This window comes from Homo sapiens, chromosome 3, assembly GCF_000001405.40.
Source record: "Homo sapiens chromosome 3, GRCh38.p14 Primary Assembly".
Lineage (NCBI taxonomy): Eukaryota > Metazoa > Chordata > Mammalia > Primates > Hominidae > Homo > Homo sapiens.
The window spans coordinates 53,384,426-53,398,690 of record NC_000003.12 but is presented as its reverse complement, the minus strand read 5'-3'; the positions used below and the strand labels follow the sequence as shown (position 1 = coordinate 53,398,690).

At 40.8% G+C, this 14,265-nt stretch overlaps 1 non-coding gene across 1 annotated transcript; it reads left to right on the top strand.

Annotated features, from left to right (window-relative positions):
- The first annotated feature begins 10,854 nt into the window (after positions 1-10,854).
- Positions 10,855-10,978, top strand: LOC124900563 (small nucleolar RNA SNORA26). Its single transcript, XR_007096312.1, has one exon. It is a non-coding gene; the product is annotated as a small nucleolar RNA SNORA26 (small nucleolar RNA).
- The last annotated feature ends 3,287 nt before the right edge of the window (positions 10,979-14,265 follow it).

Below are 14,265 nucleotides of genomic sequence, written 5' to 3'. Positions count from 1 at the left end.
CCTAGGTTCACTGATCCATTTGGGATAGTTAGGGTGGTGTCATTCTAATTCTATCCTACAGTTTTTATTTTTTATCTGGAATAATTTTACAAAGAGATGCTTCCCCTCACCTACTATTTGATTACCCAGTTGTACAGTTCATAAAGAAAAGGCAAAGTATTTTGGCTTTTGTTACCATTGCTTTTGGTGTTTTAGTCATGAAGTCCTTGCCCATGCCTATGTCCTGAATGGTATTGCCTAGGTTTTCTTCTAGGGTTTTTATGGTTTGGGATCTAATTAAACTAAAGAGCTTCTGCATGGCAAAAGAAACTACCATCAGAGTGAACAGGCAACCTACAGAATGGGAGAAAATTTTTGCAATCTACCCATCTGACAAAGAGCTAATATCCAGAATCTACAAAGAACTTAAACAAATTTACAAGAAAAATCAAACAACCCCATCAAAAAGTGGGCAAAGGATATGAACAGACACTTCTCAAAAGAAGACATTTATGCAGCCAACAGACACATGAAAAAATGCTCATCATCACTGGCCATCAGAGAAATGCAAATCAAAACCACAATGAGATACCATCTCACACCAGTTAGAATGGTGATCATTAAAAAGTCAGGAAACAACAGGTGCTGGAGACGATGTGGAGAAATAGGAACACTTTTACACTGTTGCTGGGAGTGTAAATTAGTTCAACCATTGTGGAAGATAGTCTAGCGATTCCTCAAGGATTTAGAACTAGAAATACCATTTGACCCAGCCATCCCATTACTGGGTATATACCCAAAGGATTATAAATCATGCTACTATAAAGACACATGCACACGTATGTTTATTGTGGCACTATTCACAATAGCAAAGACTTGGAACCAACCCAAATGCCCATCAATGATAGACTGGATGAAGAAAATGTGGTATATATACACCATGGAATACTATGCAGCCATAAAAAAGGATGAGTTCATATCCTTTGTAGGGACGTGTGTGAAGCTGGAAACCATCATTCTGAGCAAACTTCGCAAGGACAGAAAATCAAACACCACATGTTCTCACTCATAGTTGGGAATTGAACAATGAGAACACTTGGACACAGGGTGGGGAACATCACACACCAGGGCCTGTCCTGGGCTGGGGGTAGGGAGGAGGGATAGCATTAGGAGAAATCCCTAATGTAAATGACTAGTTAATGGGTGCAGCCCACCAACATGGCACATGTATACATATGTAACAAACCTGCACATTGTGCACATATACCCTAGAACTTAAAGTATAAAAAAAAAAGAAAGAAAAAAGGCAAGGTAAATCATTGGTTGTTTGTTTTTATTTACACCATTTCCACAATAATGAATCATTTATCTGTCATCTTCAGAATGCAATCAATTCACCTTCTTTTTTATTTCATCTTTATTTTCACTTTTTTTATTATTATACTTTAAGTTCTACAGTACATATGCACAACATGCAGGTTTGTTACATATGTACACATGTGCCATGTTGGTGTGCTGCACCCATTAACTCGTCATCTACATTAGGGATTTCTCCTAATGCTATCTTCCCCCTCCTACCCACCTCACGACAGGCTCTGGTGTGTGATGTTCCCCGCCCTGTGTCCAAGTGTTCTCATTGTTCAATTCCCACCTATGAGTGAGAACATGCGGTGTTTGATTTTTTATCCTTGCAATAGTTTGCTCAGAATGATGGTTTCCAGCTTCACCCATGTCCCTACAAAGGACATGAACTCATCCTTTTTTATGGCTGCATAGTATTCCATGGTGTATATGTGCCACATTTTCTTCATCCAGTCTATCATTGATGGACATTTGGGTTGGTTCCAAGTCTTTGCTATTGTGAATAGTGCCACAATAAACATACGTGTGCATGTGTCTTTATAGTAGCATGATTTATAATCCTTTGGGTATATACCTAGTAATAGGATGGCTGGGTCAAATGGTATTTCTAGTTCTAGATCCTTGAGGAATTGCCACACTGTCTTCCACAGTGGTTGAACTAGTTTACACTCCCATCAATAGTGTAAAAGCATTTATATTTCTCCACATCCTCTCCAGCACCTGTTGTTTCCTGACTTTTTAATGATCACCATTCTAACTGGTGTGAGACAGTATCTCACTGTGGTTTTGATTTGCATTTCTCTGACGACCAGTGATGACGAGCATTTTTTTCATGTGTCTATTGGCTGCATAAATGTCTTCTTTTGAGAAGTGTCTGTTCATATCCTTTGCCCACTTTTTGATGGGGTTGTTTGATTTTTTCTTGTAAATTTGTTTCTTTGTTGATTCTGGATATTAGCTCTTTGTCAGATGGGTAGATTGCAAAAATTTTCTCCCATGCTGTAGGTTGCCTGTTCACTCTGATGGTAGTTTCTTTTGCTGTGCAGGAGCTCGTTAGTTTAGTTAGATCCCATTTGTCTATTTTGGCTTTTGTTGCCATTGCTTTTGGTGTTTCAGACATGAAGTCCTTGACCATGCCTGTGTCCTGAATGGTGTTGCCTAGGTTTTCTTCGAGGGTTTTTGTGGTTTTAGGTCTAACATTTGAGTCTTTAATCCATCTTGAATTAATTTTCATATAAGATGTAAGGAAGGGATACAGTTTCAGCTTTCTACATATAGCTAGCCAGTTTTCCCAGCACCATTTATTAAATAGGGAATCCTTTCCCCATTTCTTGCTTCTGTCAGGTTTTGTCAAAGATCAGATGGTTGTAGATGTGTGGTGTTATTTCTGAGGCCTCTGTTCTGCTCCATCTGTCTATATCTCTGTTTTTGTACCAGTACCATGCTGCTTTGGTTACTGTAGCATTGTAGTATCGTTTGAAGTCAGGTAGCTGATGCCTCCAGCTTTGTTCTTTTTGCTTAGAATTGTCTTGGCAATGTGGGCTCTTTCTTGGTTCCATATAAACTTTAAAGTAGTTTTTTCCAATTCTGTGAAGAAAGTCATTGGTAGCTTGATGGGGATTGCATTGAATCTATAAATTACCTTGGGTAGTATGGCCATTTTCACGATATTGATTCTTCCTATCCATGAGCACGGAATGTTCTTCCATTTGTTGTGTCCTCTTATTTCGTCGAGCAGTGGTTTGTAGTTCTCCTCGAAGAGGTCCTTCACATCTCTTGTAAGTTGGATTCCTAGGTGTTTTATACTCTTTGAAGCGATTGTGAATGGGAGTTCACTCATGATTTGGCTGCTTGTCTGTTATTGGGGTATAGGAATGCTTGTGATTTTTGCACATTGATTTTGTATCCTGAGATTTTTCTGAAGTTGCTTATCAGCTTAAGGAGATTTGGGGCTGAGACAATGGGGTTTTCTAAATATATAATCACATCATCTGCAAACAGGGACAATTTGACTTCCTCTTTTCCTAATTGAATACCCTTTATTTCTTTCTCCTGCCTGATTGTCCTGACCAGAACTTCCAACACTATGTTGAATAGGAGTGGTGAGAGAGGGCATCCCTGTCTTGTGCCGATTTTCAAAGGGAATGCTTCCAGTTTTTGCCCATTCAGAATGATATTGGCTGTGAGTTTGTCATAAATAGCTCTTATTAGTTTGAGATACGTCCCATCAGTACCTAGTTTATTGAGAGTTTTTAGCATGAAGGCTGTTGAATTTTGTCAAAGGCCTTTTCTGCATCTATTTTGATAATCATGTGGTTTTTGTCATTGGCTCTGTTTATGTGATGGATTATGTTTATTGATCTGCGTATGTTGAACCAGCCTTGCATCCCAGGGATGAAGCCAACTTGATCGTGGTGGATAAGCTTTCTGATGTGCTGTTGGATTTGGAGTACCAGTATTTTATTGAGGATTTTTGCATCAATGTTCATCAGGGATATTGGTCTAAAATTCTTTTTTTGTTGTGTCTCTGCCAGGCTTTGGTTTCAAGATGATACTGGCTTCATAAAATGAGTTAGGGAGGATTCCCTCTTTTTCTGTTGATTGGAATAGTTTCAGAAGGAACAGTACCAGCTCCTTTTTGTACATCTGGCAGAATTTGGCTGTGAATCCATCTGGTCCTGGACTTTTTGTGGTTGGTAGGCTATTAATTATTGCCTCAATTTCAGAGTCTTTTATTGGTCTATTCAGGGATTCAGTTTCTACCTGGTTTAGTCTTGGGAGGGTGTATGTGTCCAGGAATTTATCCATTTCTTCTAGAGTTTCTAGTTTATTTCCATAGAGGTATTTATAGTATTCTCTGATGGTAATTTGCATTTCTGTGGGATCGGTGGTGATATCCCCTTTATCATTTTTTATTGTGCCTATTTGATTTTTCTGTCTTTTCTTCTTTATTAGTTTTGCTAGTGGTCGATCTGTTTTGTTGATCTCTTCAAAAAACCAACTCCTGGATTCATTGATTTTTTGAAGGGTTTTTTGTGTCTCTATCTCCTTCAGTTCTGTTCTGATCTTAGTTATTTCTTGCCTTCTGCTAGCTTTCAAATTCATTTGCTCTTCCTTCTCTAGTTATTTTAATTGTGATGTTAGGGTGTCAATTTTAGATCTTTCCTGTTTTCTCTTGTGAGCATTTAGTGCTATAAATTTCCCTCTACACACAGCTTTAAATGTGTCCCAGAGATTCTGATATGTTGTGTCTTTGTTCTCATTGGTTTCAAAGAACATCTTTATCTCTGCCTTCATTTCATTCTTTACCCAGTAGTCATTCAGGAGCAAGTTGTTCGGTTTCCACGTAGTTGTGAGGTTTTGAGTGAGTTTCTTAATCCTGAGTTCTAATTTGATTGCACTGCGGTCTGAGAGACAGTTTGTTGTGATTTCTGTTCTTTTACATTTGCTGAGGAGTGCTTTACTTCCAACTATGTGGTCAATTTTGGAATAAGTGTGATGTGGTGCTGAGAAGAATGTATATTCTATTGATTTGGGGTGCAGAGTTCTATAGATGTCTATTAGGTCTGCTTGGTGCAGAGCTGAGCTCAAGTTCTGGATATCCTTGTTAACCTTCTGTCTCATTGATCTGTCTAATATTGATAGTGAGGTGTTGAAGTCTCCCATTATTATTGTGTGAGAGTCTAAGTCTCTTTGTAGGTCTCTAAGGACTTGCCTTATGAATCTGGGTGCTCCTGTATTGGGTGCATATATATTTAGGATAGTTAGCTCTTCTTGTTGAATTGATCCCTTTACCATTATGTAATGGCCTTCTTTGTCTCTTTTGATCTTTGTTGGCTTAAAGTCTGTTTTATCAGAGACTAGGATTGCAACCCCTGCTTTTTTTTCGTTTTGTTTTCCATTTGCTTGGTAGATCTTCCTCCATCCCTTTATTTTGAACCTATGTGTGTCTCTGCACATGAGATGGGTCTCCTGAATACAGCACACTGATGGGTCTTGACTCTTTATCCAATTTGCCAGTCTGTGTCTTTTAATTGGTGCATTTAGCCCACTTACATTTAAGGTTAATATTGTTATGCGTGAATTTGATCCTGTCATTATGATGTTAGCTGGTTATTTTGCTCGTTAGTTGATGCAGTTTCTTCCTAGCATCAGGGGTCTTTACAATTTGGCATGTTTTTGCAGTGGCTGGCACTGGTTGTTCCTTTCCATGTTTAGTGCTTCTTTCAGGAGCTCTTGTAAGGCAGGCCTGGTGGTGACAAAATCTCTCAGCATTTGCTTGTGTGTAAAGGATTTTATTTCTGCTTCACTTATGAATCTTACTTTGGCTGGATATGAAATTCTGGGTTGAAAGTTCTTTTAAGAATGTTGAATATTAGCCACCACTCTCTTCTGGCTTATAGAGTTTCTGCCAAGATATCAGCTGTTAGTTTGATGGGCTTCCCTTTGTGGGTAACCCGACCTTTCTCTCTGGCTGCCCTTAGCATTTTTTCCTTCATTTCAACCTTGGTAAATCTGACAATTATGTGTCTTGGGGTTGCTCTTCTCAAGGAGTATCTTTGTGTTGTTCTCTGTATTTCCTGAATTTGAATGTTGGCCTGCCTTGCTAGGTTGGGGAAGTTCTCCTGGATAGTATCCTGAAGAGTGTTTTCCAACTTGGCTCCATTCTCCCCGTCACTTTCAGGTACACCAGTCAGATGTAGATTTGGTCTTTTCACATAATCCCATATTTCTTGGAGGCTTTGTTCACTTCTTTTTACTCTTTTTTTTCTCTAAACTTCTCTTCTCGCTTCATTTTATTCATTTGATCTTCAATCGCTGATACCCTTTCTTCCACTTGATCAAATTAGCTACGAAGCGTGTGCATGCGTCACGTAGTTCTTATGCCATGTTTTTCAGCTCCATCAGTTCCTTTAAGGTCTCTCTACACTGTTTATTCTAGTTAGCCATTCATCTAATCTTTTTTCAAGGTTTTTAGCTTCCTTGTGATGGGTTTGAACATCCTCCTTTAGACTGGAGAAGTTTGTTATTACTGACCTTCTGAAGCCTACTTCTGTCAACTCGTCAAAGTCATAGTCCATCCAGCTTTGTTCCATTGCTGGTGAGGAGCTGTAATCCTTTGGAGGAGAAGAGGTGCTCTGGCTTTTAGAATTTTCAGCTTTTCTGCTCTGGTTTCTCCCCATCTTTGTGGTTTTATCTACCTTTGGTCTTTGATGATAGCGAACTACAGATGGGGTTTTGGTGTGGATGTCCTTTTTGTTGATGTTGATGCTATTCTTTTCTGTCTGTTAGTTTCCCATCTAACAGTCAGGACCCTCCGCTGCAGGTCTGTTGGAGTCTGTTGGAGGTCCACTCCAGGCCCTGTTTGCCTGGGTATCACCAGTGGAGGCTGCAGAACAGCAAATATTGCTGCCTGATCCTTCCTCTGGAAGCTTTGTCTCAGAGGGGTACCTGGCTGTATGAGGTATCAGTCAGTCCCTACTGGCCGGTGTCTCCCAGTTAGGCTACACGAGGGTCAGGGACCCACTTGAGGAGGCAGTCTGTCCATTCTCAGAGCTCAAACTCCATGCTGGGAGAAACACTGCTCTCTTCAGAGCTGTCAGACAGAGACATTTAAGTCTGCAGAAGTTTCTGCTGCCTTTTGTTCAGCTATGCCCTGCCCCCAGAGGTGGAGTCTACAGAGGCAGGTAGGCCTTCCTGAGCTGTGGTGGGCTCCACCCAGTTCGAGCTTCTAGGCGGCTTTGTTTACCTACTCAAGTCTCAGCAATGGTGGACGCCCCTCCCCCAGACCAGGCTGCCGCCTGGCAGTTCAATCTTGGACTGCTGAACTAGCAGTGAGCAAGGCTCTGTGGGCGTGGGACCTGCCGAGCCAGGTGAGGGATATAATCTCCTGGTGTGCCGTTTCCTAAGACCATTGGAAAAGCGCCGTATTAAGGAGAGAGTGTCCTGATTTTCCAGGTCTGTCACAGCTTCCTTCCCTAAGAAAAGGAAATCCCCCGACCCCTTGCTCTTCCTGGGTGAGGCGACATCCCACCCTGTTTCAGCTCATCCTCTGTGGGCTGCACCCACTGTGCAACCAGTCCCGGTGAGATGAACCAGGTACCTCAGTTGGAAATGCAGAAATCATAAGACTTCTGTGTGGAACACGCTGGGAGCTGCAGACTGGAGCTGTTCCTATTCGGCCATCTTGGAACGATCCAATTCATTTTCTTTTTAAAGATTATTACCGGCCGGACAAGGTGGCTCACGCCTGTAATCCCAACACTTTGGAAGGACAAGACAGGCAGATCACTTGAGGCTAGGAGTTCGAGGCCAGCCTGGCCAACATGGTGAAACTTAACTCTCCACTAATAATACAAAAATAATACAATTTTGTATTAAGAATACAAAAATTAGCCAAGCATGGTGGCACACGCCTGTAATCCCAGCTACTTGGGTGGTTGAGGCAGGAGAATCGCTTGGACCTGGGAGGCAGAGGTTGCACTCCAGCCTGGGCAATAGAAAAATAAAAAATAGGCCAGGCACGCTGGCTCATGCCTGTAATCCCAGCACTTTAGGAGGCCAAGGTGGGTGGATCACCTGAGGTCAGGAGTTCAAGACCAGCCTGGACAACATGGTGAAACTCCATCTCTACTAAAAATATAAAATTAGCCATGTGTGGTAGCTCATGCCTGTTATCCCAGCTACTCAGGAAGCTGAGGCAGGAGAATCGCTTGAACCCAGGAAGCAGAGGTTGCAATGAGCCAAGGTCATGCCATTGCACTCCAGCCAGGGAAACAAGAGCAAACTCCATCTCAAAAAAAATAAATAAAAAAAAATAAAAATAATAATATAATAAAACAAAGATTATTATAAACTCATGGATTTACAAATATTTAAACATTATCCTCATTAGGGCAGAAATTGTTTCCTTTTTAACCTGTGGAAGGCTCTTCAAAATGGCCCCTGAAAGGCCAGATGCAGAGCTCACACCTGTAGTCCCAGCACTTTGGGAGGCCAAGGTGGGAACATCACTTGAGCCCAAGAGTTTGAGATCAGCCTGGGCAACATAGGGAGACCCTCTCTCTTCAAAATAATTTTAAGAATCTTCTGCCCATGACTCTAGTAGTCTTTGATAACTTCTCTACTGTGTGGTAGGTCAAGATATTCCAGTTCATCTCCTACATTTCCTATTCCAGATTTGGAATTAGCCATTTCTCCAAGCAGCCCAGGTTTGCTTTAGCAGAACACGGTATTTCAAGACCATAATCTAGGCACTATGGCTGCTTTCCCATTGTTACTAGGCACTTTCATACCAAGAATCCTGGTTCTCAAGGACCCAGAGGATGACAGGATTGGAATATCCCATCATTTGTGCTAACCTATAAGGATTGTATGGCAATTTCAGAATAACAATAACAATATTACCACCATATATTGTGACTAAACAGTTTAAAAATATTTTTCTCAGGCTAACTTCATTCTCTCCCCCTTTTTAATGGTCATGGTAGATCTATCTGGACAGGCTGTAAAACCTTTACATATAATAATTTCCTCTTTTAACTCTCATTTAGTCTTAGTTCTATAAGCACCCATGTATTTCATGCTCACCACCAGTTCTTGTGTCAATGTTTCTCTAATTGTTTTGGTGGCCTTGATCTAGAGTAGATGCTTTAATAAAAGCCCATGAGAACAAGAGTTCCTGAGTTCTTGCATGTTGATCACAGTTTGTGTCAATCTCACTGGATAGAAGGTCTTTCCCTCACACTTGATATCCTTGGGTATCTTAAGTATGTTACCCCATTTTATTTTGGCACAAAGCTATTCTGTCAAAAAGTCTGATAATAATCTAATTTTCTTTTCTTCATAAGTCACATGCTATTTGTGTCTAAATGCTTATAGAAATTTTTTGAAAGCCAAATAATATTGCTAAAGAAAAGAAATGTTTATTTTCCTTTAAAGTCCAATAATTTTTCTAGAACATGTCCTAGAATATTTTCTAGAATAGCCCTGGGTCAATATGTTTAGGTACATGGTGTGCTTTTTCAATCTGTATTTCAAAATACCTCCGGAAATATTTCAGGAAAGTATTTTTTTCTTTTTCTTTCTTTCTTTTTTTTTTTTTTTTCTTTTTGAGACAGGGTCTGGCTCTGTTGCTCAGGCTGGAGTGCAGGGGTGCAATCTTCGCTCACTGCAGCCTCGACCTCCCAGGCTCAAGCCATCCTCCCACCTCAGCCTCCTGAGTAGATGGGGCTACAGGCACACACCACCACGCCCGGGTAATTTTTTTTTTTAATTTTTGAATTTTTTGTATAGACAGGGTCTCACTATGTTGCCCAAGCTGGTCTCAAACTCCTGGGCTCAAGTGATGCATTTGTCTCGTGCCTCAGCCTCCAAAAGTGCTGGGATTACAGATGTGAGCCATTGCCCCAGCCAGGCAAGTTTTCTTGACTTTCAGTTGTAGTACTCATTTTGTTCCCTTTCTTTGGTCTTCTTTTGCTTCAGGGACTCTAACTATCCATATTTCAGATCTTTCTGATCTATATTTGTCACTTTTCTTCAATGTTTTTTGTTTCTTCATTTCTTTGAACTTATATTTCTTTTTGCCTTCTCTTGTGTCTATTTGCTCTAGAGTTTCTTCTGGTTTGATTGTCATTTTTTAAATGATTTTTTTTTCTTTTCATTTCTAGTTATTTCTTGAATTCTGTCACCCTATTTGTAAGATTTTCTAATTCTGATGAATAATGCTCTTTCATGTCTTTTACTGCTTTCTTAACGTCTTTTAGTTCTTTTCAGATAGTAGGTCACTGTATTTAACTGTTCTTTTTCAATATGTCTTTCTGGGTTGCTTTCATTGTCTATACCCCTTTAATTTTTGCATAAAAATACTGAGACCCAGTGTTACTCATCCAAGTTCACTTTTCAAAGTATGAAAAACAATGTAATTTTAAAAACAAATTTGCATTCTAATGTTTCCTTTGGTGAAAGGTGGCAGAAGCAATTCCCAAAACCAACCAGTCAACATTAGACTACGAACTTCCAAAGGTAGGCCACCTTGCTCCAGGGACTGGAAGTTTCTTTCAGGTAACTGTTTTTCCCTTTTATATCTCAAAAGCAAATGAACTATCAATTCAGTCAGAAGACACTGCACCAAACAACACTCTCTCAAAAAGTCCTAATGAGTCTTATTTCATATCTTCTGTAGTGTCAGTTCAGATTCTGCTTTTGAGATTCTCCCTACAGAAAAGAATCATCTCTGACTCCTTTGTGTAAATCAAAGACAGAGATCAATGACATATTGAATTAATATGAAAGAGCATTTTAAATGCAGACGTCATCCAACACTATCACTGAGCATAAAACTCTGTCTTCATTGAAATATTTGATCAATTGTTTGATGTCAAGCAGTATTTTTTAATTAAATATTTGTCCCTCCTCACATAAAAGGACTGATTACTATCTTTTACAGAAGAATGAATTTAACAGTTTCCTACCAATAAAATAGAACTTTGCCCTCAAAATGTTTTAACCATTTGAACTTTAAAATGCAAGTTCATAGTTCTTTAAGAGACTAACACAGAAAGCTAAAGTAATTCTCCATAAAACCCAGAGACGAGATTGTAAAACTCCTCTGTAGATACTGTCTGGAGTCACAGCTTAACCAGAAAAAAATTTATCACAATTTAAGCACCTTTCTGATAATTTTATATAGTTCATAGGACAAGTGAGACATTTAAGTTTTCTCTGCTTAAAAGGTCATTTAAGCTGAGCATGATGGTGCACACCTGTAGTCCGAGCTACTTGGGAGGCTAAGGTGGGAGAATCACTTGAGCCTTAGGAGTTAAGGACTTCAGTGAGCTATGACTGCACCACTGCACTCCAGATTGGGTGACAGAGCAAGACCCTGTCTCTAAAATAATTAATTAATTAATTAAATCAATGTCTTAGTATACCATGAAGACCACTACCCTGCCTGAAACCCTTCCATGGCCCGCTTTGTCTTACAGGATGAAAGTCAAGTTGCTTGATGTCCCATCCCTTGGTGACCTGGCACTTAGCCTCATCTCTGTCAAACATTCATTTAACAAAGACGACTTGCCCTCAGCCCAACAAGATGAGATCAGAGGGCTGGAGGTCTCTCACACGTGCCACAATCTCTCACACATCCATGCCTTTGTACACTGCTCCCTCCATGGACCTGCCCTTCCACCACTCCTTCCAATTGTAAATGCCCGGGCCAAAGGCAATTCATCTGGTGGCCACTGAGGAGGTGGCTGGGGGTGCGATACTGGCTGGAAAGAAGCACAAAGGAACTTTCCGTATTGATGAAAATGATTATGATTTATATCTCCATTGAGGTGGTGTCAATATGGATGTATACATTTGTCAAAATTCATTGAGCTATATCACAATCTGTGCATTTTATTTAAATTTTTTAAAATGTTAGGCAACAAGATAAAAGTCAATTCAAAAGCATCATTTTCGCTGGGTGCAATGACTCACACCTGTAATCCCAGCAATTTGGGAGGCCAAGGCAGCGGATCACCTGAGGTCAGGAGTTCAAGACCAGCCTGGTCAACATGGCAAAACCCCATGTCTAGTAAAAATACAAAAATTAGATGGGCATAGTGGCAGGTGCCTATAATCCCAGCCACTCAGGAGGTTGAGGCAGGAGAAGTGCTTGAACCCAGGAAGCGGAGGTTGCTGTGAGCCAAGATCGCACCATTGCACTCCAGTCTGGGCAACAGAGTGAGACTCCATCTCAAAAAAAAAAAGAAGCAGCATTATTTTTCATTAGAAGCTCTCCCTACTTCTAACTCGGGCTGATTTGGATATCCCCTCTCTGCTCCCATAACACTTTATGAATACTTCTATCCCAAGATTTAGAAACTTACCTCACTGTACATACACAACTACTGAATTTATTTGTCTACTTCACCAGACTATAAACTTTAGAGAGGAAATGGTTTGGATGGGTGTCCCTGCCCAAATCTCATGTCAATTGTAATTCCCAGTGTTGGAGGTGATTGGATCAGGTGGATTTTCCTCTTGGTGCTGTTCTCGTGATAGTGAGTTCTCATGAGATCTGGTCATTTAAAAGTGTGCAGCACCTCCTCTTCCTGCTTTCTCTTTCTCCTGTTCTAGCCATGTGAAGTGTTGACTTCTCCTTTGCCTTCTGCCATGATTGTAAGTTTCCTGAGATCTCCCCAAAAACCAAGCAGATGCCAGCATCATGCTCCTATAAAGCCTGCAGAACCATGAGCCAATTAAACCTCTTTTCTTTACAAATTACCCAGTCTCAAGTATTTCCTTATAGTGGTGTAAGAACGGACTGATACAAAGAGCAAAGACCAGGTCTTAATAGTTTCATTTCTCTAACACCTACCATTTTTGTGGCACCTTCAGCACCATGAAAATTATGCAGTAAACATCTATTAAATGAATCAAAATGAAATTTAATGATAGGAAGAAGATGGTGGTGGTGACAAGGGGAGGGCAGGAAGATTTCTGAGGTTGTCACAACCCATAAAAATGACAACACAGGCTGGGCGTGGTGGCTCATGCCAGTAATCCCAGCACTTTGGGAGGCTGAGGCAGGCGGATCACTTGAGGTCAGGAATTCAAGACCAACCTGGCCAACATGGTGAAACTCCGTCCCTACTAAAAATACAAAAATTAGCCAGGTGTGGTAGTGGGCGCCTGTACTCCCAGCAACTCGGCAGGCTGAAGCAAGAGAATAGCTTGAACCCAGGAGGCAGAGGTTGCAGTGAGCTGAGATCGCACCACTGCACTCCAGCCTGGGCGACAGAGCAAGACTCTGTCTCAAAAACAAAAACAAAAAAATGACAACACAGTAAAATGTAATTATCAACTACAACTGGAATCAGCCTACAAAGTACTCCCACCCTTTGGCTACCATCTTTCATCCCTAGACACACATATATGAGCTCTTACCATCACCTTCTTTACTGCTCCTTTTAAAGAGTTTACACCAAGATTTATGTTTGGGACTGCAGGGGAACACTTTCCCAGTGTGAACTGAGATTTGTCTCTTTATTCCCCTCTCACTCCAATAGAGGGTTCTGAACAGAGGCATTTAGAAGCCATTCCCACAGTGAACTTATGTCTCATAAATGATCAGCATGAAGGATGGCAAATTGATTTTCTAGGAAAGGTTTCCCTTGCTTCTTGTTTAGGAAATTCAACTCTAATCTCTTCAAAACACATGTCTCAGTGAGCTTTATCATCCCTATAATTAACTTAATTTAGATAAATATTAGCCTCCAGAAATTTTACATTATAAACTTGGCTATGGTTGAACACTCCAGGAAGGCCCTAATGTGCTACAGAAATCAATGAAATGTTAACAAGCATTGACAGCTTAGCAGGTGCTACAGAGGAGAGTAGAATCCAAAAAAGGATTGTGCAACCCAGGCATCTCTGTCCCTTCAAGGTTATCATCTTGCCACTCATCCACCTACGTTAACCGACCTAGAGGCATAGCCGGAACCTGAGCTAATTGTGAAATTCCTCCCCATAGTAAACCTTTCCCCAGAGGTGCCACTCAGCACCTCTGCCCATGAACCTCTGTCGAGAAAGAACTGAAACTCATTTATTTAGTGGTGAAATTGACTGAGACAGACTCATGTTCTCTCTTATGAGCAATTCCAAAATCCCCAAACTCTGAATACCAAAAAACTTTTTTTTGAGACTAAGTTTTGCCCTGTCACTCAGGCTGGAGTGCAGTGGTACAATCACAGTTCACTGCAGACTTGACCTCCTGGGCTCAGGTGATCCTCCCACTTCAGCCTCCCAAGTAGCTAGGACTACGAGCACATGCCATCACATCTGGCTAATTTTTTTTGTAGAGATCGGGTTTCACCATGTTGCCCAGGCTGGTCTTGAACTCCTGGACTCAAGCAATCCTCCCACCTCAACCTCCCA